A 22,887-nucleotide genomic window follows, 5' to 3' on the forward strand; every position below is an offset into this window, starting at 1 on the left:
TTTCAATGCATAGGGAGACAGCCTGCTTTTTCTATTTTAAAGAATTGTAGCATTGGTCAGAGCTCTGTAATCAGATCCAACAAAAGTTTTTATCTGAAATGGTGGATAAACTGGTTCTAAAAATAATCACAGATGATAATTTGTACACTCTTAACGTCAATGTCCTGTTATGCAATTTCTCCGTTAAAAAAATTATATTTGTAGAGAAAAGGAAACCATAGGAACAACAACAACAATAACAACAGAATAAACTGACTTAATAAATCTTGGCTTCTCCTTATCAAAGGGAAATTCCACTCTTCTATTTAATCCTTGACCCTCCCAGTAAACTGTAATCCTGACCCCAGGGGCCCCTCCAGTTACAAACATGTTGAATGACCTGGTGGAGGGATTTGGAAACTAACTTTGTCTCACCCTGAACTAGTACTGGTTGTTTATTTCTTGCCTTGGTTTGTTTCTGGTTCTCTGAACCCCATCATCTCTGCTTACACAGGTGTGGCCCCCATCACACACACCCCTTGGAAAACATTCCTACTTTTCCTTGTCCCAGCATACTCTCAAAGGCATGTATTTTTCAAGTGTAGGATTCCCGATCGGCTGCTGAGGAAGGAGGATGTGCTTCTGAGGATACTCTAAAGACTATCCTGGCAGCCCATAAAATCAAAACACAGCCCCTCTGGCCTGGGAGACAGCAGAGCCAGAAGAGCTCAAAGGATCTGGGTAGGCTAAAGATGAGCTCACCAGGCCCTGGGTGGGACCCACAGCTTTTACTATTGCCTCCACCCACCATCCCATCTCAGCCTTTGCCCAACACAGGGAGGAAGTCCAGAACTACTGTGGATAAACACATGACAACCCAAAGACACAAACATAGTTATTTCTAAGCATACACTACTTCTGGTTTCCTTTCCCCTTTTCTTTCTCCTTTCCCCTTTCCTTTCCTTTCCTGTCCATCCCTCCCTCCCTTCTTCCCTCCCTCCCTCCCTCCCTTCTCTCTCTCTCTCTCTCTGTCTTTCTTTTTTTGAGACAGGGTCTTACTCTTGTTACCACGCCGGAGTGCAGTGGTATGATCGCAGCTCACTGCAGCCTTCCCGGGCTCAGGAAGCAATGGAAATGAGTCTGGGAGGTGATTCTCCCAACTCAGCCTCAGTCCCAGGGAGCTGTGACTACAGGCACGAGCCCCCATGCCTGGCTAATTTTTTGTATTTTCTGTAGAGATGGGGTTTTGCCATGTTGCTCAGGCTAGTCTTGAACTCCTGGGCTCAAGCAATTTACCTGCCTTGGCCTCCCAAAGTGTTGGTACTACAGGTGTGAGGTACTGCGCTCGGCCTACTTCTGGTTCTTTCGGCGAATTGGTCCGAAGAACAGGATTGGGAATCAGAAATTTGTCCACCATGACCCTGTTTAATTTAAACTCTAACTCACAAAGGACCTGGGGCTTCTCTTCCACACTTAGTCCATGGGATACTGCAAAACCAACTTGGGAGTCAACTGCTAACTGGGAAGATTCCTTTACATAATGGGCTTACCTCTGTTGCCTCACCTGTAGTAAGAGAGGCTAGGATCACCCATCTCAGTCCCTTGCTAGTGCTACAATTTAGTTCTGGGAATGCCCCTGGGGTTGAGGGTCTGTAGAGTCTGAGACTGAAGAGGTTCCTGGCACCAAATCATCTGTGATGTTGCAAGGTGCAGTATACAGCTGCTAGCAAAATCCAACAAAATCTGGTTGTACTAGGAGTGCTCCTATTTTAATGTGAAGTCCAGCCCCAACATGGAGAGAGGAGTTAGGTTAATTCTGCCAGGTAATCAATGGAAATGAGCCTGGGAGTCAGGATCCAGCTGCTTCCACCCTGGATGTGATGGCCATTCATTTCTTTGTTCTTGCTATCAGTTTTATCTCTTGATAGCTGCTGTTCTCCCAATGTTGGCTTTTTCTTGTAATGTGACTATTCACAATTTTTATGACATTTATCCCAATCCTCTGAGGGTATTATGCCCACTTTACAGTTGAAGAACCAAGAGGCCTCAAGACAAGGTGATGGAAGTGATTTTTGCTTCTGTCTATGAAAGATTAACCATTGCAGGAACTGTCCTTCCACCATAAACAATTAGAAAACTGAACAAAATGTATGAAATTATTGTTTTTAATCATTGGATATGAGCAATGCAAGACTCAACAAGAAGACAATAAGGGAAGCATTACAATTGCCTGAGCTTACTGCCAAGAGGCAACTTCTAAGCCCCAGTACAGAGAGGAGGAACCCAGAGCCCAGAGGTCTTGGCTCAGTTGAAACGATGAGATATCAGAGTTTGGGAAGACTCAGGCAGCTGGAATTTGTGGGGCACAATACCGGAGAGAACAAATCTGTATAGTGAGAGAGCTCTGGAGATCTGTAGACCAAGGGACCCTGTGAATCTTTCAGCTGAATACTGATTTGCACATGCAAGGGGTGAAACTCTGAAAGGCTAGAAAAAGAACTGCAGAACTGCAAGAAAGCAGTGAGCTGGACAATTCCTGGAACTCATGTAGGCTCACAATAGTTATGTGTTCTCTCACCCAGAGTAGAGACCTTGTAACACATGGGACATCATGTAGGACCTCAGAAGGATCCTGTTAGAGGAGCTACATTTGCCCTAAACTAAAGGCTCCTCTTTGGATTGAACCCACCAGAACTAAGCTTAAAAGCAAGTCTTGGAAGAATCCAACCAATCCTAAGTAACTCAACTGTGTGCTAAAACAAAGTCCAACACTTTAAAGAATAAAACAAAATCCAATACCTGACAACATAAAATTAACATTGTCTGGCATCTAATAAAAAATTATAAGCACGCAAAGAAGTGGGAAAATATAACCCATAACCAGGAGAAAAAAAATTTAAAAATATCCTAAAATGACAGCAATAATGAAATTAGAAAGTAGAACATGAAAACAGTTACGTACACCTGCTACATATGGTCAAGAATCTAGAGGAAGACTGAACATGATAAAGGGAGATATAGAAGATATAAAAAGGACACAAATGAAACTTCTAGAGATGAACAATACAGTATCTAAAATTAAAAAAAATTCACAAGATGAAAATAATAGCAGAGGCTGGGCATAGTGGCTCACATCTGTAATTCCAGCACTTTGGGAGGCCAAGGGAGGAGGATTGCTTAAGCCTAGGAGTTCAAGGCCACCTGGGCAACACAGTGAGACCCTGTATCATTCTTTTTAAAAGAGAACAGTAGTACGTTATACGCTGCAAAAGAAAAAGTTTGTGAATTTAGAGTCACAAAAGTTGAAGCTATCAAAAGTAAAACAGATTAAAAAAAAAGAATGAGCATCAGCGACATATGGGACAACTTCAAGTGACTTAATTTACATTTGAATGGAATCACAGAAAGAAAGGAAAAAGGGCAAGAGATGGAGGAAATATTTAAAGCAATAATGGTGTTGGGGGCTGGGCACGGTGGCTCACGTCTGTAATCCCAACACTTTGGGAGGCCACGATAGGAGGAGTGCTTGAGCCCTGGAATTCAAAACCAATCTGGGCAACATAGTGAGACCTTGTCTTTACAAGAAATTTAAGAATTAGGGCATGGTGGCATGTGCCTGTAGTCCCAGTTACTCGGGAGGCTGGGGTTGGAGGATTTCCTAAGCCCAGGAGTTTCAGGCTGCATTGAGCCATGATCTCGCCATTGCACTCCAGCATGGGAGACAGTGCAAGACCCTGTCTCTAGAAACGAAGAAAGAAACAAACAAAAAATGGTGCTGAAACATTGGATACCCATACCAAAAAAAAAAAAAAAAAAAAAAAAAAGAATGCCAACCATATCTCATGATACACATGAAAATTAACGTGAGATAGACTACAGATCTAAATGTTAAATGCAAAACTACAAAACTTTAGAAGAAGTTTTGAGGGAGCATCTTTGTGACCTTGGAATAGGCAAGGATTTCTTCACTAGGGCATAAAAAGTCTAAAACACACAAAAAAATGGATAAATTTGACCTTATCAAAATTAAAAATGTCTGCTCTTCAAAAGACAATGTTAAGAAAATGAAAAGGCAAGCCACAGCCAGGTAAAAACTGTGCAAAACATTTACCTGTATAAAGGGCTTGTATTTAGAAAAAACTCTTACAACCCAGTAAGACAAACAACTCGAATTTAAAAAGCAATGTATAAAAGATGTGAATAGGCACTTTACCAAAAAAGACATACATAGTCAAACATGACACATGAAAAGATGCTCAACATTATCAGCCATGCTTCTCATGAATGCAAGGTGGGAATGCAAAGTGGTAAACATTTTGGTAGTTTCTTGTAACATTAAACAATCCTTATCATATGATCCAGTAACCCCTTTCCTAGGTTTTTACCCAAGAGAAATGAAAACATATGACCGAACACTTCTATGTGAATGTTCAGAGCAGCATTATTCACGATCTCCAAAAAGTGGAAACGACCCTAATGACCATCAACTAGTAAATTAGTATAAACAAGCCATACACACAATGGAATACTACTCAGCAATAAAATGTCACAACTCACACCATATTGACAGAATGAAGGATAAAATTACAATATCATCTCAACAGGCACAGCAAGGTCATTTGCCAAAATTCAACATTCTTTTGTGGTAAAAGCACTCAACAAACTAGAAATGGAAAAAAACTTCTCCAACCTGACAAAAGGCATCTATAAAAAACCCACAGCTAACATCATACTTAATGGTAAAAGAGTGAATGCTTTAAGATCCCCTAGGATCAGGAATGAGACAAGATGTCTGCTCTTGCCACTTCTATTCAACACTGTATTGGAGGTTCTAGCCAGAGCAATTAGTCAAGAAAAAAGGAGTCCACAATAGAACCTATTAGAGCTAATAAGTTTGTTCAGTAATGTTGCAGGATAAAAGATCAATATACAAATATCAATTGTAGCTCTATACAGTAGCAATGAACAATCCACAAATGAAATTAAGAAAATAATTCTATTTATAACAGCATCAAAAAGAATAGGAACAAATTATTTAATGAAAGATGTGCATGAAGTATATGTGCACTGAAAACTATAAAACACCCACTGAAATAAATTAAAGAGACCTAAATAAATGGAAAGACATCCAGTGTTTGTGGATTTAAAGACATCATATTGTTATGATGGCAGTACTCTTCAAATTGATCTACAGATTTAATGCAATCCCTATCAAGATTCCAGCTGGCTTTTTCTTTCCTCCCTCCCTCCCTCCCTCCCTTTCCCGCCCCCCCCCCAAACAAGCTGATCCTAAAATTCATGTGAAAATGCAAGGAACCCAGAATAGGCAAAGCAATGTTGAAAAATGAAGAAAGAGGACTCACACATCCTGATTTCAAGTTACTATGAAGTAATGATAATCAAGACAGTGTGCTCCTGGCATAAGGATAGATACATAGATCAATGGAATACAATTAAGAATCGAGAAACAAACCCCTAATTTATGGTCAACTGACTTTTTGACAAGGGTGCCATGACAATTCAATGGGGAAAGGATAGTCTTTTTGAAATACAGTGCTAGGACAAATGGATAGTCACATATGCCAAAGGAATGAGGCTGAATCTGTACCTCCTATCAGATATAAAAATTAACTCAACATGGATCATAAACTTATGAACTAAAACTGTAAAACTTCCAGAGGAAAACATGGGTGCAAATCTTTGTGACTTTGGATTAGGCAATTATTTTAGACATGAAATCAAATGCACAAGCAATAAAAAACAGATACAATGGACTTCAAAACTAAAAACTTTTGTCCATCAAAGGATATTATGAAGACAGTAAAAATCCACAGAAAGGGAGAAAATATTTGCAAACTGTGTGTCTTATAAGGGATTAATATCTTGGACATAAAAAGAACCCTTACAACTTGAGAATAAAAAGAGAAATAACTCGGCTGGGCGCGGTGGCTCACGCCTGTAATCCCAGCACTTTGGGAGGCTGAGGCAGGCAGATCACCTGAGGTAGCGAGTTCGACACCAGCCTGGTTAACATGGTGAACTCCTGTCTCTACTAAAAATACAAAATTAGCCAGGTGTGGTGGCACATGCCTGTAATCCCAGCTACTTGGGAGGCTGAGGCAGGAGAATCGCTTGAAACCGGGAGGCGGAGGTTGCAGTGAACCGAGATCGTGCCATTGCACTCCAGCTTGGGCAACAAGAGCGAAACTCCGTCTCAAAAAAAAAAAAGAGACAACTCACTTAAAAATGCGCAAAGGATCTGAAGAGACCGTTCTTTGAAGATATATAAATGACCAACTAGCACTAGAAAAGATGCTCAAACTCATTAGTCATTAGGGAAATGCAAATCAAAAGCACAATTAGATCCCAGCACTAGGATGGCTATTAATAAAACAGATGGACAGTAAGAGTTGGTAAGGATATTGAGAAACTGGAAACTTCATACACTGGTGGTAAAAATGTAAGATGGTTGCAGACTCTTTGGAAACAATTTAGCAATTCTTCAAAAAGTTAAACTTAGAGTTGGCATATGGCCCAGACATTCCACTTCTAGGTAAATACCCAAGAGAATTGAAAACACAGGTCCCAGCAAAAACTTGCCCATGAATGCTCATAGCAGCATTATTCATAACAACCCAAAAGTGAAAACAACCCAAATGTCCATCAAACTGATGAATGGATAAACAAAATGTGATATCTATATACTGGAATATTATTCAGCCATAAAAAGAACAAAATGACCAACATGGATGAACCTTCAAAACATGTTAAGTGAAAGAATCCACACATGAAAGGCCACAAAGGTATGATTCCATTTACATGAAATATCTTAAATAGACTTTCAAAAACTACTTGCATAAAAATTTAACTGACATGGGCAACTACTTTCAGATTATCTGTGATGTGCAGCTGGAGCTGGGAAAGGCAGGAACAGAGAACACTGAAACCACAGATGTGGCCGGTCATGGTGGCTCATGCCTGTAATCCCAGCACTTTGGGAGGCCGAGGCAGGAGGGCTGCTTAAGCCCAGAAGTTTGAGACCAGCCTAGGCAACAAAGGGAGACCTCTCTCTACAAAATAAAAAATTAAAAACAAAAACAGAAAAACCACTAGGTTGGCATAGTGGCATGCGCCTGTGGTCCCAGCTACTCAGGAGGCTGAGGCAGGAGGATCACTTGGGCCCATGAGGTTGAGGCTGCAGCGAGCCATGACTGTGCCACTGCACTCCAGCCTGGGTGACAAAGCTGCAAAAAAAAAAAAAAAAGAAATCACAGATGTTCTGAGACCCTAGTTGTTGACTAGAACGGTATTTCACTCCTGGGATGAAAATGTGGGTAGAAGGTTTCATGACACGGTTCTGCCACAGACACAACTCTCACATTATATGAGGCCTTTAACTTTGGTCACAGAAATGGACGGTGAATAAGGAGTCAGGAAAGCTCACCCTTTTCACTAACCAGCTGTGTAACCTTGGGTAAGTCACTTAAATTGCTATGATCTCTAAACTAAATTTCTAAAGAATTGTGGGCCTCTGTACTCAGCGCAAGGTTTGGAATTAACAGAGTAAACACCACGTTAACCTAGCAATCTAATAACATACCCTATATTATTCTGACTTCTGAAAGACAGCTAGGAAACATCTGTTATTTTAGAAGCTCACTGTTCCCTGGGAAAGATAATTTTGGCACAAGCAGCAGTTCAGATGACAGTTCCAGTGTTTTGGGGAAAACCAACTAATTTATTGACAACAAAGCCTGTTTTTTTTTTTTTTTTTTCCTCCTCCTTAAAATTTCATAGCTATAGGCCCAGAAATACAAAGTCCCCAGAAGACTCTAAAAATATGTTCTCAATTCCTTTTTATTTCCCACCCAGAGCTGAGAAAACAGCACCAACTGTGTCATATTAAACACATCTGCATCCAACACTGATAAAGTGCATGACCGAGGAACAGATAAGAATTGTTTTCAATTTGTTAAAATGGAAATAGTTAAATTTAACCTAATTAGACTAAATAATCAAAGCAGGTGTTTGTAAGATGCCAGTGTTTGTTTTCATTCTCTGTAACTGTTCAGCTATATTTCCCAGGAACTTAGGTAAAGGAAATTAATATGTCATAAAAATCACTGACCTATTTATTCATGTCACATATGTATTATTCATGTTTTAGGCAGTACAAATACAGGGCATTGTTGAACATTTCTCACAGATTTTACCATTTAAGCATCATCAACATCTAAGCTGGCCTGCAGAGGGGCTTATGTTACCTAACTTCCATTATATAAATACAAGCAGTAATAAATGAGAGCCTGTCTTCTAATCGTACACTGATCTACAGAGCGCACTGACTTGGCATTTAGACTATTTAGGGTTTCTGACTCCACTTGCACAAGCTGGTCACTTTTAAGACATTTAAAAGAAAAATAATAACAATAATAAAAGTTATATTCCAGTTAAAACAAAATGTTTATTGCACTTGGCAGAGTGATGAGATCTGAACTATAAATATCAACTAACAAAGAAACCACAAAATGTAGTCACCAGCAGCCTGGTATTAGGAAGTGTTTTGTGCAGTGGCCATAGGTCCACTTTCCAAGGGAAAAAGGGCAGGTGGCTGCCCGGGAGCAGTCAAGCGTGCTCTTTCTAATAACACGCTCCAGTCCTGGGTAGGCTCTCGTATTATTCCACACACCCTCAGGATGGGAAACAGAAACACAAGCAAGAAAGGCCCCATAAAAGCCTGTGACGTGGAAGCTCCTGAAAAGGGGGTCCCTTCTCTGTGGCCTGGGCATTCTGCAGCAGGGACAGAAGCCTGGGAAGTTGAGTCCACGAAGAGGGTTCTCGGACTCCCTTCCCTAAGCGAGTGACTGATGTTTCCTGACTCTGGCCCTGGTTGTGCCGTGAGGCCACAGTGAGGGCAGCTGGAGAGCTCAGGATCTGCCACCTTAGCACACATGGGATGTTAGGCACTTCTCGCTATGCCTCAGTTTCTGTGGTCTCATGAAGGAACATTAGTACTTTCTTCATTAATGCACATAAAATGCTTGGCAGTGCTTGGCATAGAGATAGATGCTCAATAAATGTTGGCCACTATTATTATAGCCCCCTACAAACAAGGAGGATGAGATTGAAAACAATGTTTCCTAAAAATGAGGGTATAATGGGCATCCTATCCATATTTCAGGGGTAGGAAAACAGCCTTCTGAGATCATTTATATGAAGGGTATGGATGGACAAATCCTTATCAGCCTAAAATATTCCTATCTATGATTGCTATGTCATTTCTTTAGGATTAATCAATCCTCTTCATGAGTCATATTTCAATATATTACACATACACATAATTATAAAAGAACCAAGTTGCATAAAATTTATAAAATGGAGACTAGGAAAGGAAAAACCCGCTCATAAAACCCAACAAGAGAGCTTAAAATGAAAGTCTGAAAGTGCAGGTAGGTATTTGTTTAAATACTTGGTAAAAGAAAATGTTCAATTCAGTAGCTGTGACAGACACAATTTTAAGGGGTGTGGGCATAAGAGAAACAGAAAGTCCATCTGTCAAAGGGGTAAATATTTAGTCAAGTCTTAGATAGTATTTCTGTAAACAGAAATTTCAATGGAAAATTTCCAACCTGAGAGCAAATAATTTAAGATGGGTTTAATATAAGAATTAAAGCTCTCGTCTCCATGTCGCTGCCCAGCCTGAGACCCAGCCCTCTGAGTCCTTGTGGCAGTTCGGCTTTTTCTTTCTTGTTCCCTCAACTACAACTGGACACTATAATTTTCTTTCCATTCCAGCAGGAAACTGATATATACTAACGATGACAGCTGGATTCAGAAGAGGAAAAAGAACACAGGGGACAGAGAGTCCTTGTGGGTTTAAAACTCAAAACAAAACCCCCAGATTTGAAAATTTTAAAACCTAGTTAATGGCTGAGGAAACCTCAAATGATTGGGAAGCACTATGATAAAAGTTTGAATTACATAAAACACATCATTATCTTAAGCTTTTCTAATAATCTTCTCTGCCTTTCTCCTTCACTGTTTTTCTCCTTGTTTATGCCCCTAGCCCTTCAACGTGGTTCTAAGACATGTCAGAGGTAGGAACAGCCTTCCAAGGCCATTTACAGAATAGGACTGGAGAGGGGATGAGCAGATGCTCCTCCATCCAAAAAAGTTTCCCTGAAATTGTTATTACTTCATTTCCTTTGGAATAATCAATCCCTTTCAAGATTCATATTTAAATACATTTAATTTAAACATATGTATATACACATAATGAAACAGAATTATGTTTCATAAAATTAGTAAAATAGAAAATAAGAGAAGGAATCTCCCCTGTAATCCCACCATTCTAAAATAATTCCTTTTACCATAGCGCTGGCTTTCATTCTAGTCTGTTCCTCCATTCCCCACTCCCTACCTCCCAAACCCCTAATATTGATTATCAAAATGGCTGGGCAAAAGCAAAGTGAATGCATCTCCAGTTACATTCTTTTTTTTTCTTTTTTTTCTTTTTTTTAGAGACAGGATCTTGCTCTGTCACCCAGGTTGGACTGCAATGGTGTGATCACAGATCACTGCAGCCTTGAACTCCTGGGTTGAAGGGATCCTCCTGCCTCAGCATCCTGAGTATCTGGGACTCTACAGGCACATAACACCATGTCCAGCTAATTAAAAAAAAAATTCTGTAGAGATGGAGTCTTGCTATGTTGCCCAGGCTTATCTCGAACTCCTGGCCTCAGGCAATCCTCCTGCTTTGTCCTCCCAAAGTGCTGGGATTATAGGCGTGAGCCACTGCATCCAGCCAGTTACATTATTTTGGAGTGACACTAGGAACTTGGTTCCATAAGGGTCCTAAAAATCCTGTAAGGATGAGGGCAGAGAAAGAAATGTCACATTGTCTTAAAAACCACACAGTCCTACTCTCTGTCTTAGATCGTCCAATGAACTCCTTTGTCTACAGGGTCAAATTGAGGCTCCTTGGACTTTGGCCTGTGAATGAGGCCTTCCATGACTGAGTTTCTGCCTCCTCAGCCTCACCAGTCACACCTGCCTGGCCTTGAACCCAACACCCCAGTTGCCATGTCCCTAGTGCTCTGAAGGCTGTGCTTGATTTGTGCCCTTACAGCTTTGGCCATGCTTCTACCTCTGTCTGTAATACCTACCTCCACCTTGCCCATCCTGGTGAATCCCTACCCACTGTCAAAACTCTGTTCAACCACTTCCTCTTCAAGGAAGTCTTTCCTGTCCTCTCAAGTAGAAATGATCTTTCTTTAGTGCCTCAAATGTGTCCCATACATACTTCCTTTAATACAGCATCTGAAAAATCCTTCATTGCACCTACTTATAAGACCAAGGCATATTCATCTCTATCTCCAGATACAAGTGCTCAATATATCTCTGAGGCTAGCAGGTCTGATGAATGAAAAAATAAATAAACAAGAAAAAAAATGATCTTTTTCTGGATCAGTCAGAGGGACAGGGGCAACCCTAATCAAGTGGACTCCTGACATTCTAAGCCAGGTATGTTATACTGCAGTGTTTTCCTAGGAAAGCAGGCATTTCTTCTTTCCTGAAGATGTTTAAAAATATGAGAACAGTGAAGGCGAGGAGGTGAACACAATGCTGCACGGCTGGAGGAGACTGGATTAGATGCATAGCTTCCAGCGAATAATAATGATAATAGGCTGGGCACGGTGGCTCACATCTGTAATCCCAGCACTTAGGGAGGCCGAGGCGGGTGGATCACCTGAGGTTGGGAGTTCGAGACCAGCCTGACGAACAAGGAGAAACCCCGTCTCCACTAAGAATACAAAATTAGCCAGGCGTGGTGGCACATGCCTGTAATCCCAGCTACTCGGGAGGCTGAGGCAGAAGAGTTGCTTGAACCCGGGACACGGAAGTTTTGGTAAGCCGAGATTGTGCCATTGTACTCCAGCTTGTGCAACAAGAGTGAAACTCCATGTCAACAAAAAAATATTAATAATAGTTAATATTATTGAGCATTTATTCTGTGCCATGCAAAGCACATTCTTCACAGACAGCTTCACATGTATAAGCTGACAACCACTCTAAGATATAGATCTTACTGTCCCCTTTTACAATGGAAACAACGTGTCTCAAAGCAGCTAAATAACTTGCCTAAGGTCACAAAGTTAGTAAATGGCAGATCTAGGATTCAAACCCAGAGGTTTGGCTTCAGTCTATGTGGTATACTTCCTACTCTGGACTTTGTGAGCTAATAATGGAGGCAGATATATATTTACATACACACATAAACACCTTGCTTGAATTCAGAAAATGAATTCACATCTATTTGATACATGAGTTTAAATAAAATCTGTATTTTGATAACAGCTGTTACTATTCTAAAAACTGAGGAGAACTGCATTTCATCAAACAGTTAATAAATCCATTTAATGAGGGCCTACTATGTGCTTAGACGACAAAGAATCTAAGACATGGTCCATTCTTTCAAGGAGCTTATATGCTAAAACTATAATATCATCACATTATTTTGAAAGCATATTGAAATCTACACATCCAAGTAAGTGATCACCTTATTTGGTGATATATTTATCTATTGCTCAACCTGTTTTGGGGAACAATTTATAAAACACACAAGAATAGACTTCACTACATTAAGCACAGTTTATTTTTATCCCAAACAGTGCTTTCCATCTTAATTGCCATTTTATTTGGTATTTGGTTATTTCTAAAAATCTATTCCATCCTCAAAGAAAGAAAATATGCTCCTACTGTTTGTGTGGATGTATTATATGAACATGAACATTCATACATATACATAAATACAAACACATCTAGCGATTTTATGAGGGCAATTCCCTGAGGACTGAATAAAATTTGTGCTGTCTGATAAAAATGAGTCATATATATGTAATTTAAAATGTAAACAGCCACATTCTTCATCATTAATAATGTTACTGTAATGTACCTTTTGGGTTATGATGTCATTTACAATTCTTCCTATCTCTCCATTTGACAAAGTTAAACACATATATTTCAATGACAGTTTTACTTTGTTATTTTTCCCATTCTAGTTGCCATATTTTATTTTATTTTATTTTATTTTTTTTGAGACAGGGTATCGCTCTGTCGCCCAGGCTGGAAAGCAATGGCATGATCATAGCTCACTGCAGCCTCGAACTCCTGGGTTGAAGTAATCCTCCTGTCTCAGCCTCCCAAGTACCTAGGCCTACAGATGTGTGCTACCACATGTGGCTAATTAAATTTTTTTTTTTTTAGAGATGAGGCCTCACTATGCTGCCAGGCTGGTCTCAAACTTCTGGCCTCAAGCAATCCTCCTGCCTCAACCTCCTAAAGTGCTGAATTATGGGCTTGAGCCACCACATCTGACCTTAGTTGCCACATTTTAAAAAGTAAAAGAAACGGGTAAAATTAATTTTGATAATACATTTTAAATTTAATCCAGTATGTCAAAAACATCATTCCAACACATACATAATTAATACAAAATTATTGAGGAATTTTATTTTTAACTCATACTAAGTCTTTGAAATGTAGTATGTATTTTACACTAACAAAACATCTCATTTTGGACCAACCACATCTCAAGCGCTCAAGATCCACATATGACTAGTGGCTGCAGTATTGGATAGTGCAGGACAAAATTTTTAGAGCTATGGTTGTCATACTAGAATAAAAGCATCCTGTCCTCACATCTTACTCTGTAGAGTAACATCTTTAAGAGTAATATATAGATGCAAGTGAAATACTGTTAAGTTATTAAACACAGCTTGTGAAAACAAGCTGTGATCTGTTTAATTAGGGTATAAACTCTAAATAATGTTAACAGCTTGGAGAAATGGATGGTTCAAAAAAGCTAAAGTCATCTTCAAGGAACCCAGCTCATCAGTAAAGGATGGGTAGTTGGGGAAGAAAGAAGGTATTTTACAACATATAAGGATTAACCATTCTAGACAAAGAATAATGGCACTGAGCCAAGAAAAACTCAGTTCAAATAAACTAATGATTATAGTCAACCATAAACTGCCAGAATCCCAGTGAGTAGATTTGTAAGCAATGAACAAATCTCTTATGGCCAAAGCCCTTTAGATACATAGGCAGGGAAGTATTACAAAGCTATATGGAATTTGGAACTGAAATACAGAAATGGTGGAAATCTAAAGCAATTTACTTGGTAACATTGGATTCATAGTCTCTTTTTAAACTTTAGACTCCAGTTGACTTAAGGGTAAGCTGGAGTAGATGCAACTCTGTGGTCCCTTACAGCCACGGTGACCAGTAATTTATTATGCAAACCTGGTCACTTTCAAGAGTAAAAGGGCGCACTATTAATAATTATGCTGGGATAAGAGGCATAAACTGGGATTGCTTTATAGCTATAAAACCATATGATTTTACACTACAAAGAGGATACAACAGCTACTCCTATCCAGGGATGTGGACTTGATGAGAGTCTAGCACGTTCTTATTACCTCTGCATGGCCACAGGGGTTTTGTGGGCTAATATACATCGATCTGGGTGAGACGGTTTTGCATGCTCCCACCTCCCCGACCTCCCTCCTGCAAAGCATTTTAAATTGGTTTGAATTTGGGAACAGGGTTCCATATGAACAGAGCTGAACATTGACAGCCTGAATGTATTTACCGAAGACAACAAATCATTGACAGACTAAATGTAACAGAGGAAAGGCCTGGTCTGCTTGCACTCAGAATCTGACTTTGTAATTCTAGCCTCCTTTAGACAGGCCTAATCAATTAGAAGAGGCTGATTTTAACCAGTTGCAGACTCATTACCCTGCATTCCAGTTTGTGCTGATGAAAATCAGTTTCAGTCCGTGGCCTGGAATTCATGTACAGCACTTCCTGTAGCCTCTTATATAAACACATCAAAAAAATTTTATTTGGAGTTGCCATTTTCCCTTAAAAAAGAAAAACCACTTTGCAAATCATGATTAAAATAGAGCAACTGTATGTGGATCTGGGGTCCATCCCCAGAAACTTACATGACCAAGAAACATGTGGAAAGTCAGAGTCTGAGGCAGCAACTCATAAGTGCATTGGTGTAGGGGTCGATTTGAGAAGAGAGTCTCAAATACCCAGCATCAAATGAGCCCAGCTCAGTTATCTCCACAGAATGGAACAGAATGAACTCACAGCTATTCAAAATAATGACCTTTCAAAGAAAATACATAAAATAGAAAAAAGCCGGGGTCGTAGATGCAGAGAGGGTATCTGAGTAGAGTTCACTCTTCCCTGAATGACCAACTAGAAAATAAACGGCAAACTTCCAAATAAACAAGAACAAGTTTCCCTGACAAACTTCTATGAGGGAACTATATGACACTGTTTAATTTTGATGTGTGGTTAGTCTTACAAAAGTAGAAGGTGGAGCAGTGTGTGGCAGAGCCACTCAAAACGCCATCCACATTTCAAAGATGTGTAACGATTCCAAAATACAGTATAACTATGAATCATACCTGGCTGGTTGTCCTTTGCAGATCTGTTGAGGCAGCAAGTCAATAGGAAGAGAATATCAATATATACAGCTCTGGTCACCAAACATGGATTTTGCCTAGAAAGGTAAAGAACAGAATATAAATTGAGATTTTCTCTCCCTTAGGTCTGGGTCTCAGGAAGGAGAACATGGGTATTTTCTATGGTATATGATGGGGCTTAAGCAGCTATGGCAAATATTAAGAAATGATGTACAATCATTGATGGCAAGAAAATAAGCAACTAATGTGAGCAAATGAAATCCTTGACCATATGATGGAGGCCAAGGCTATGTGTAGACAAAATAGATAACAACTCTATGCTCTGGCTTCAAATAAAATAAAATGAAAACAAACACCAAGATCCTATCTTAGTTAGTTGAAAATAAGATGGGACAGAAGGGGTGGGGAGATGGTACTCTATTATTCTACATTTTTAAGTATAGAAATTTGGGGGAAAAAAAATCAGTCATGAAAATCAGATTTAGTATTGTGGAGAAGGAAAATTACACTCACATATGAAAAGCTGTATCTGTGGACTTGAAATAACCAGCTGAACAATAGACACATGGCAAGATTAACAAACACTGGAGATGACATTTTCCCCAATAAATGGATTTTTTTCTTCATTCAATATATGGAGCAGCTCTTTGAACAACATAGTAGAAATAGTAAGTGGGCTCAGATTTGGGTATCTATATACAAAAGGATGAAGAAAGACTTTCTTTTTAAGAACAGCACTGAAGGGCCTTGACTCTTGAGTGTCTTTGGCCATGAAAAGGCCAAAACGTCTTTGGTGTACTAATAATACAATGTGAGTAGTAGAGACAGTAGGGACAGACCTACAATTGAGTCCTGGCTTTCCCACTTACAATCTCTGTGACCTGAATCAGATTCCTGACTTGTAAAATGGGAACTGTATTATCACCTCTGCTATGGTTTGACTGCCCCTGCTAAAATTCATGTTGAAATGTAATGCTATTGTAACACTGTTAAGAGGCAGAGCCTTTAAGAGGTGATTGGGTCATGAGGGTACTGTCCTCATGAATGAATGAATGTTGTTATCTTGGGATTGGGCTAGTGATTTGGAGACTGAGTTTGTTATAAAGATGAGTTTGGCTTGATTTCCTCTCTGTCTTGCGTGCTCTTTTCTGCCTTCAGCCTTCCACCATGGGATGACCCTCACCAGATGCCAGTGCCATCTGTTACAATAAATACAATACATACATTCTGTTACAGCAATAGAAAATGGACTAAGACAGACTTACTGTGAGTCACTGTGAGTGTTCAATGTGGCACAGTAAACTTAAAATGCCCACCTCAGTGCCTGGCCATGGCAGATGTTCCAGAACTGTCCATTCCTTGCCCTTCTCTACTTCCAACATGGGATTAGGGGATGGCATTGATATTGGCACAAGTGTTCTGGCTAGTGAGTTTCCATGTGGCTTAATCCTGAAATCCATCCTTCTCATTTCCTATAAACTAAGTTTTACAATTTCCTTAAAGTTTATTCACACCTCTATCCTGAATTGCCTATATCTGGAGCTGGTGTATGTCTAACATGAAAAATATGTATCAGATACTTTTTTTTTTGAGACAGAGTCTCGCTCTGTCCCCTAGGCTGGAGTGTGGTGGTATGATCTCGGCTTACTGCAACCTCCACCTCCTGAATTCGTGATTATCCTGCCTCAGCCTCCCAAGTAGCTGGGATTACAGGGGGTAAGACTGAAAAACAAGAGGCTGGTTAAGAGTGTGCTGGTGGTCCAGGCATGGTGGCTCACGTCTGTAATCCCAGCACTTTGGGAGGCTGAGGTGGGTGGATCACCTGAGGTCAGGAGATCGAGATCAGCATGGCCAACATGGTGAAACCCCATCTCTACTAAAAACACAAAAATGAGCCGGGCAGGGTGGCGGGCGCCTGTATTCCCAGCTACTCAGGAAACTGAGGCAGGAAAATCACTTGAACCTGGAAGGCAGAGGTTGCAGTGAGCTGAGATCATGCCACTGCATGCCAGCCTGGGTGACAGAGTGAGACTCTGTCTCAAAAATAAATAAATAAATAGGTAACACATGCAAAAATAATTGAAAAAGCACAAAAGGACACGCAATGAAAATGAAATCCCTTTTCCACAACCCTACCCCCTGCCCATATACTGTTCTCGAGGCAACCGCTATTACTACTTTCTAGCATATCCTTCCAAGCACATTCTATTCTTTTTTTTTTTTTTTTTTTTTTTTTTTTTGAGACGGAGTCTCTCTCTGTCACCCAGGCTGGAGTGCAGTGGTGCGATCTTGGCTCACTGCAAGCCCCACCTGCCGGGTTCATGCCATTCTCCTGCCTCAGCCTCCGGAGTAGCTGGGACTACAGGCGCCCGCCGCCACGCCCGGCTAATTTTTTGTATGTTTTATTAGAGACGGGGTTTCACCGTGTTAGCCAGGATGGTTTCGATCTCCTGACCTCGTGATCCACCTGCCTCGGCCTCCCAAAGTGCTGGGATTACAGGCGTGAGCCACCGCGCCAGGCTCTATTCTTTTATAAGCATCTATCTGCTACCCACTTGTTTATACAAATGATGGCTTACTATATACTCGGTTCTGATCATCACTCCTTTTCACTAATATGTTTTGGATACCATTCTATTAAGAACATAGAGATTTGCCTCATTTTCTTTTCTTTCTTTTTTGTTTTGTTTTGTTCTGAGACAGGGTCTTTCTCTGTTGCTCAGGCTGAAGTGCAGTGGCATGATCATGGCTCACTGTAGCCTCAACCTCCTGGGCTCAAGCAATCCTCCCACCTCAGCCTCCCAAATACCTGGGACTACAGGTGCATGCCACCACATCCAGCTAATTTTTAAAATTATTTTTGTAGAGATGGGGTCTTGTTATATTGTCTAGCCTGGGGTTCTACTTTTTAACCCTGCCCCTATCTTTTGTCTCTAGTTTACCCTGGGACTCTCAATCGTAACTTTCTGCTGTTACTCTTCCATCCACTATGGAAAGCCCACAGTCTATAAAAACTTCATTGATATCATTCCCAATGGTAAAATTTCTACTAGTTGAGACTGCCCCCTGCTAAAGCAAGAGCCATTCAGGGAGGAAAGCCAGTGGCCTGAGAAAGCAGATAGGATGTCTCCTGTGCATCCAGCCTTGAGCTAGGTGCAGGGAGGACATGCACAGGAGACGGCTACTGACCTGAGAATTTTGACTAGTTTTGGAGACAAAAACAAAGACAAACTTCAGAATAGGATGTAAGGAGTTAACCCAAAAAACCAACCAACCAACCAACCAACCCACCAACCCACCAGGGTGGACTGGAGAAATGAAGTTATACTTCCAACCGGGCCATGTAAGATGGGAAGAATTTAGAGACAAAGTTGATAAGGAAGGGCATTTGGAAAGAGGGTAAGAGATGTGAGAGGGAATTCATTTGGCTTCTCCAGTTCCAAGGAGCGGCAGCTTGGGAAGATAAGAGAATGCGTTGATAAGGTGGAAACAAGAGGAAGGCTGGTCAGGCTTTTAAGTGATGGGATACTTCATGCTAACTGGGTGTTCCTTAGTGTAATAATTGACTGCCTGCTCCCATGTGGCCTCACAGAGTCATAGCTTCTTGCCCCAAATGTTTTTCTGGTTTTCTGTGGAGCCATACAGAACCATAAAGAGAAGTTGTTGAGAAACCGGTTTGACTTTCAAGTCTGATGAGGAGCCTGGTTTCCATGAGATTTTCAGCTAAGTTAGCATATTTTTAAAAATTTCAAAATGAACAGAGGAAAGGTTGACGATCTTTAGAGCCTTCTGCCAGGCTGAAGTGTTCTGCATCTTCCCTAGACCCGGTACAGGCTGGTGACCTTACTGGCCTCCTGGGACACTTCAGGAATCACTGACTGCTCCCACAACTGTGAGGCTTGGGGCCAAGTGTGATGTAGTCAACAAGATCATGGGAGGCTCCCTCAAATGCTGCTGCTTTGGATTCCAGGAAACAGAAGATTTGGGGCCACAAAGGAGTCCATCCATGGCTTCTCCTTTGAGATGACTCTGAGTGAAATTCCAGCCCGGAGCCCACTGTTCATGACTCCACCCTTGAGGACAGCCAAGGCCTTATAACATCCCTGTCTGGAGTCACAGAGTTGGGCTTCACTCTGAACTGGCTTCTAAGTCAGGAAAATAATTTTTTTCATTCTTTTTCTCTTGCTATTACTTGGTGTTTGTTCTGACTTGGAAATGGTGCACTGTAAGTTCAGGGTGAGCCAGAGGTTTGTTCTCAGTCTGTCAAGCCACTTTGATGATGGGAACAAAATCCCGAAGAGCAGCACGCCAGCTGGACAGGAAACTAAGCCACAGGGTTTTGGTGGGCTTGGGGAATTTTTCTACCCCCAAATGGAAAAATCCTGGCATGGAGCACAGCATAATGAAGATTTATAGTGCTCAAAAAAAATCAGAAGTGATCAGCATGTAGCAGATGCACTGAAAAGCAGCATTACTAGTGGCTTTCGAAGGAGGAGAAGGAATCCAGCACTATGCGGACGAAGTTGACATACAGAAGATGAAACGAAGGCCCTGTTAAGAATCCTGTTTTCTTCCACTCTTTTTTACCATTTGTCCTTTTAAATATCCACTTAAGAACTTGATTAATATGTTTTTGCCTTGGGAAATCTCTGAACTTCTTTAAATCTCCTGCCCTCTCTCCTGGAAGTTGGGAGAGGCACAAGGCAGGCAGAGGGCAGGGCTTCCCAGACACGTCCACAAAAGCCCCAGTGTCTAGAGGACAGCAGAAGTCTTGGGGAAGTCTGTGATAAATTATTCACTTTTCCTGTCCCTTCCGGAATCCCAGTGGCTGCAGGTTTTTTTTTTTGGTTTTGTTTTGTTTTTAACTGAGGCCTATTCATTCAGGAAACATTTATTAAGAGGCTACTGAGAGCCAGGAATAGTGGTGGGTTTGGAAATAGGAAGATGAAGTGATTCAGTGACACAGTCACTGCCCTCAAGGAACTTAGAGTCCTGAATAGTGTTTTTCCAAATGTATGTTAGGTTATGAAATCAACTAGTGGGTAGTGACCAGCAATAAAGGAAGGAAAGAAAGAAGGAAGAAGAAAGGAAGGAAGGGAAGGAGGGAGGAAGGGAAGAGGAGAGAGATGGGGGCAGAAGAAGAAGGGAGAAAAGGAGCTAGGAGGAAGACAGAGGGAGAAAGGAGGAAAATATAATCAGAGTGTATCAAAGTAGTGTAGTAAGGACAGAGGGCAGGAGATTTAAAGAAGTTCAGAGATTTCCCAAGGGATTGTTTCACTAAGGTTTTTGTTATGTATCAGCTTTCCATTAAGTCCTTGCTAAGAATAATTTTTAATAAGTTATCTTTAAGATTTAAATAACCATTAAAATGCAACAAGTTTAAGTAAAATAATTGACTGGTCTAGCTTTTTTCTTTTTCTTTTCCAGGTAATAAGCTACCCTACATTATACTGAATGGCATCAATAGGGTTATGCTTTGTATCCAAAATGGCAGTGGATATCTTGAAAGCACACATTCCTGAAATTAAATATGCTCTATCTTGAGCAAATTCCCTCTCTGTTGCATTTTTGGCAATTTATATCTTACGCAGCTACTAAAATTTCCGACTGTGCATGATTTCATGTGTGTGTGCACAGTATATACACACAAACATATGCATTAGGTCATATGTAAAAGCTGTTTCTTGTTGTCAATGTCTGTCAAAAAAAAAAAAAAAAAAACACTTGAAAGCCACTAGTGTAGTTGGGAAAACACACAACCAGTCATGCTAGAGTATGATGGGTGCCCCAAAAGGAGGGATTAACAGAGTAACTGTTTGTCTGGGTGAGTCAGGAAGGGCCTTGGCAGAGAGTTGGAGAATGGGGAGGAGGTAGACCTGGGCAAAGTGACCACAACAGAGGAAGTAGCATGTCCAAAGACTTGGGGACATGACATGTTTAGAGAATAACAAGTGCTAAAAGGGACAATGGTATGGGGGGCGGGAATTGGAATGGCAGAGGTGGGTTATTTTTATTTAATTTATGTTTCCACATTTACATGGCTTAATGTGGCCTCCATCAAAGAAGTACCTCCTAACTCCTATCTACAAGATATAATCAAATATAAGGAGAGGCAGTGTCTGGTCCATGGACAGCTGTTACAATGATGTGAACTGCCAAGACTAGAAAGATGGCCAGTGGGATTAGCAGGAAATGATATGGGATGAGTCAACAGGGGCCCGAAACAGAAGTAGTCTTTCAGAGCTCTAAAAGTTCCAAAGAATGAAGACCCCAGTGGGATCCCATAAGCTCAAGTCACACTGGACAGCTGGGGTCCCCACTCAATATTGTGAAGCCTTGGTGGGCTTCCTGGAAGAGAGAGGGAATTCACTTTGGACTTACCAAGCTCTACCAGAATTCACTGCCATCTTCAGAGGGCTGGAAACTGCTGTTTTGGCTTTAGGTTGCTACTGTCTGTTAAGGTCTCTAAGACACATGGCTTAACTTTATTAATACAGAAACATTTACTGAGCAGTACGGGGGATATCCTACATGGGGTGGGAAGGGGAGGGAGAGGAAAAGGTTATGGCTTTGCAGAGCTTATGATCTTGTTGGGGGAGGGGTATATGTGGAGAAAAAAATACACATAAAAACAGAGGATTGATTTGATTGTCATGATTGTCATGGAGGAAGGCTCTAGAGGCATTGGAGGGGTTTGAGCTGGTGAAAGAGAAGGAATTCCAAAAAATCAAACAGGTGCAGCTGGCAGGCTCATCCCAGCCCATCTGGGGTAGTTCTCTTATCTTAGCTCCTATTTAAGCAGCTCAGATCACTTCTGTTCTCAACCACAATAAGCAAGAAGTACTAGAAGCTTCTTGTCATGGAGCCAGCACTGGAGTTAATGAAGCAATATCCTAGGGACCACCAGCAGGCCCATAACGGGCTGGAAAGAAGGAAACCAGGTTAAGAGGAAAAGTGGGTGAGAGGCAAAGGGAGAGAAGGCAGGTGAGAAGGGGAGTGGGGGGAGAAGTAAAGAGGGGGGGTGGTTAGAAGAATGGGAGAGGGAAAATGGTTGAAAAAGGGGAAATTAGTCTACAACATGTTTCCACATCCCATTATGATCCCTCCACTTGACACATATCTACCCGCCTCCTGCCCTTTATTTAAAATTCACTTCAAGCTGGGTTTAGGTGGCACAGGCACCTATAATCCCAGCTACTCTGGAGGCTGACATGGAAGGATTGCTTGAGATCAGGAGTTCAAGACCAGCCTGGGCAACATAGTGAGATCCTATCTCAAACAGCAATAACAACAACAAACCCCCCTAAAAACCAACTCACTTCAAAGCCCCTCCTCTATTTCTAGAGGATTACTTTTCTAATGATCCAGACAACTACCTCTGAGGATACGCTGAATGGCTGTCTGA

General features: G+C 41.0%; 1 protein-coding gene across 7 annotated transcripts in view; it reads right to left on the minus strand.

Moving 5' to 3' along the window:
• Positions 1-22,887, minus strand: part of THADA (THADA armadillo repeat containing) — a 365,188-nt gene that overhangs the window by 74,131 nt on the left and 268,170 nt on the right. For all 7 annotated transcript variants that reach the window (NR_073394.2, NR_144316.2, NM_001345924.2 and 4 more), the window contains one exon: positions 15,465-15,559. Coding sequence is in view for 5 of the 7 variants with exons in the window: in NM_001345924.2 (NP_001332853.1) it covers positions 15,465-15,559 (95 nt within the window). In the remaining 2 variants the exon portion in view is untranslated. The remainder of the gene's footprint in view (positions 1-15,464; positions 15,560-22,887) is intronic.

This window comes from Homo sapiens, chromosome 2, assembly GCF_000001405.40.
Source record: "Homo sapiens chromosome 2, GRCh38.p14 Primary Assembly".
NCBI lineage: Eukaryota > Metazoa > Chordata > Mammalia > Primates > Hominidae > Homo > Homo sapiens.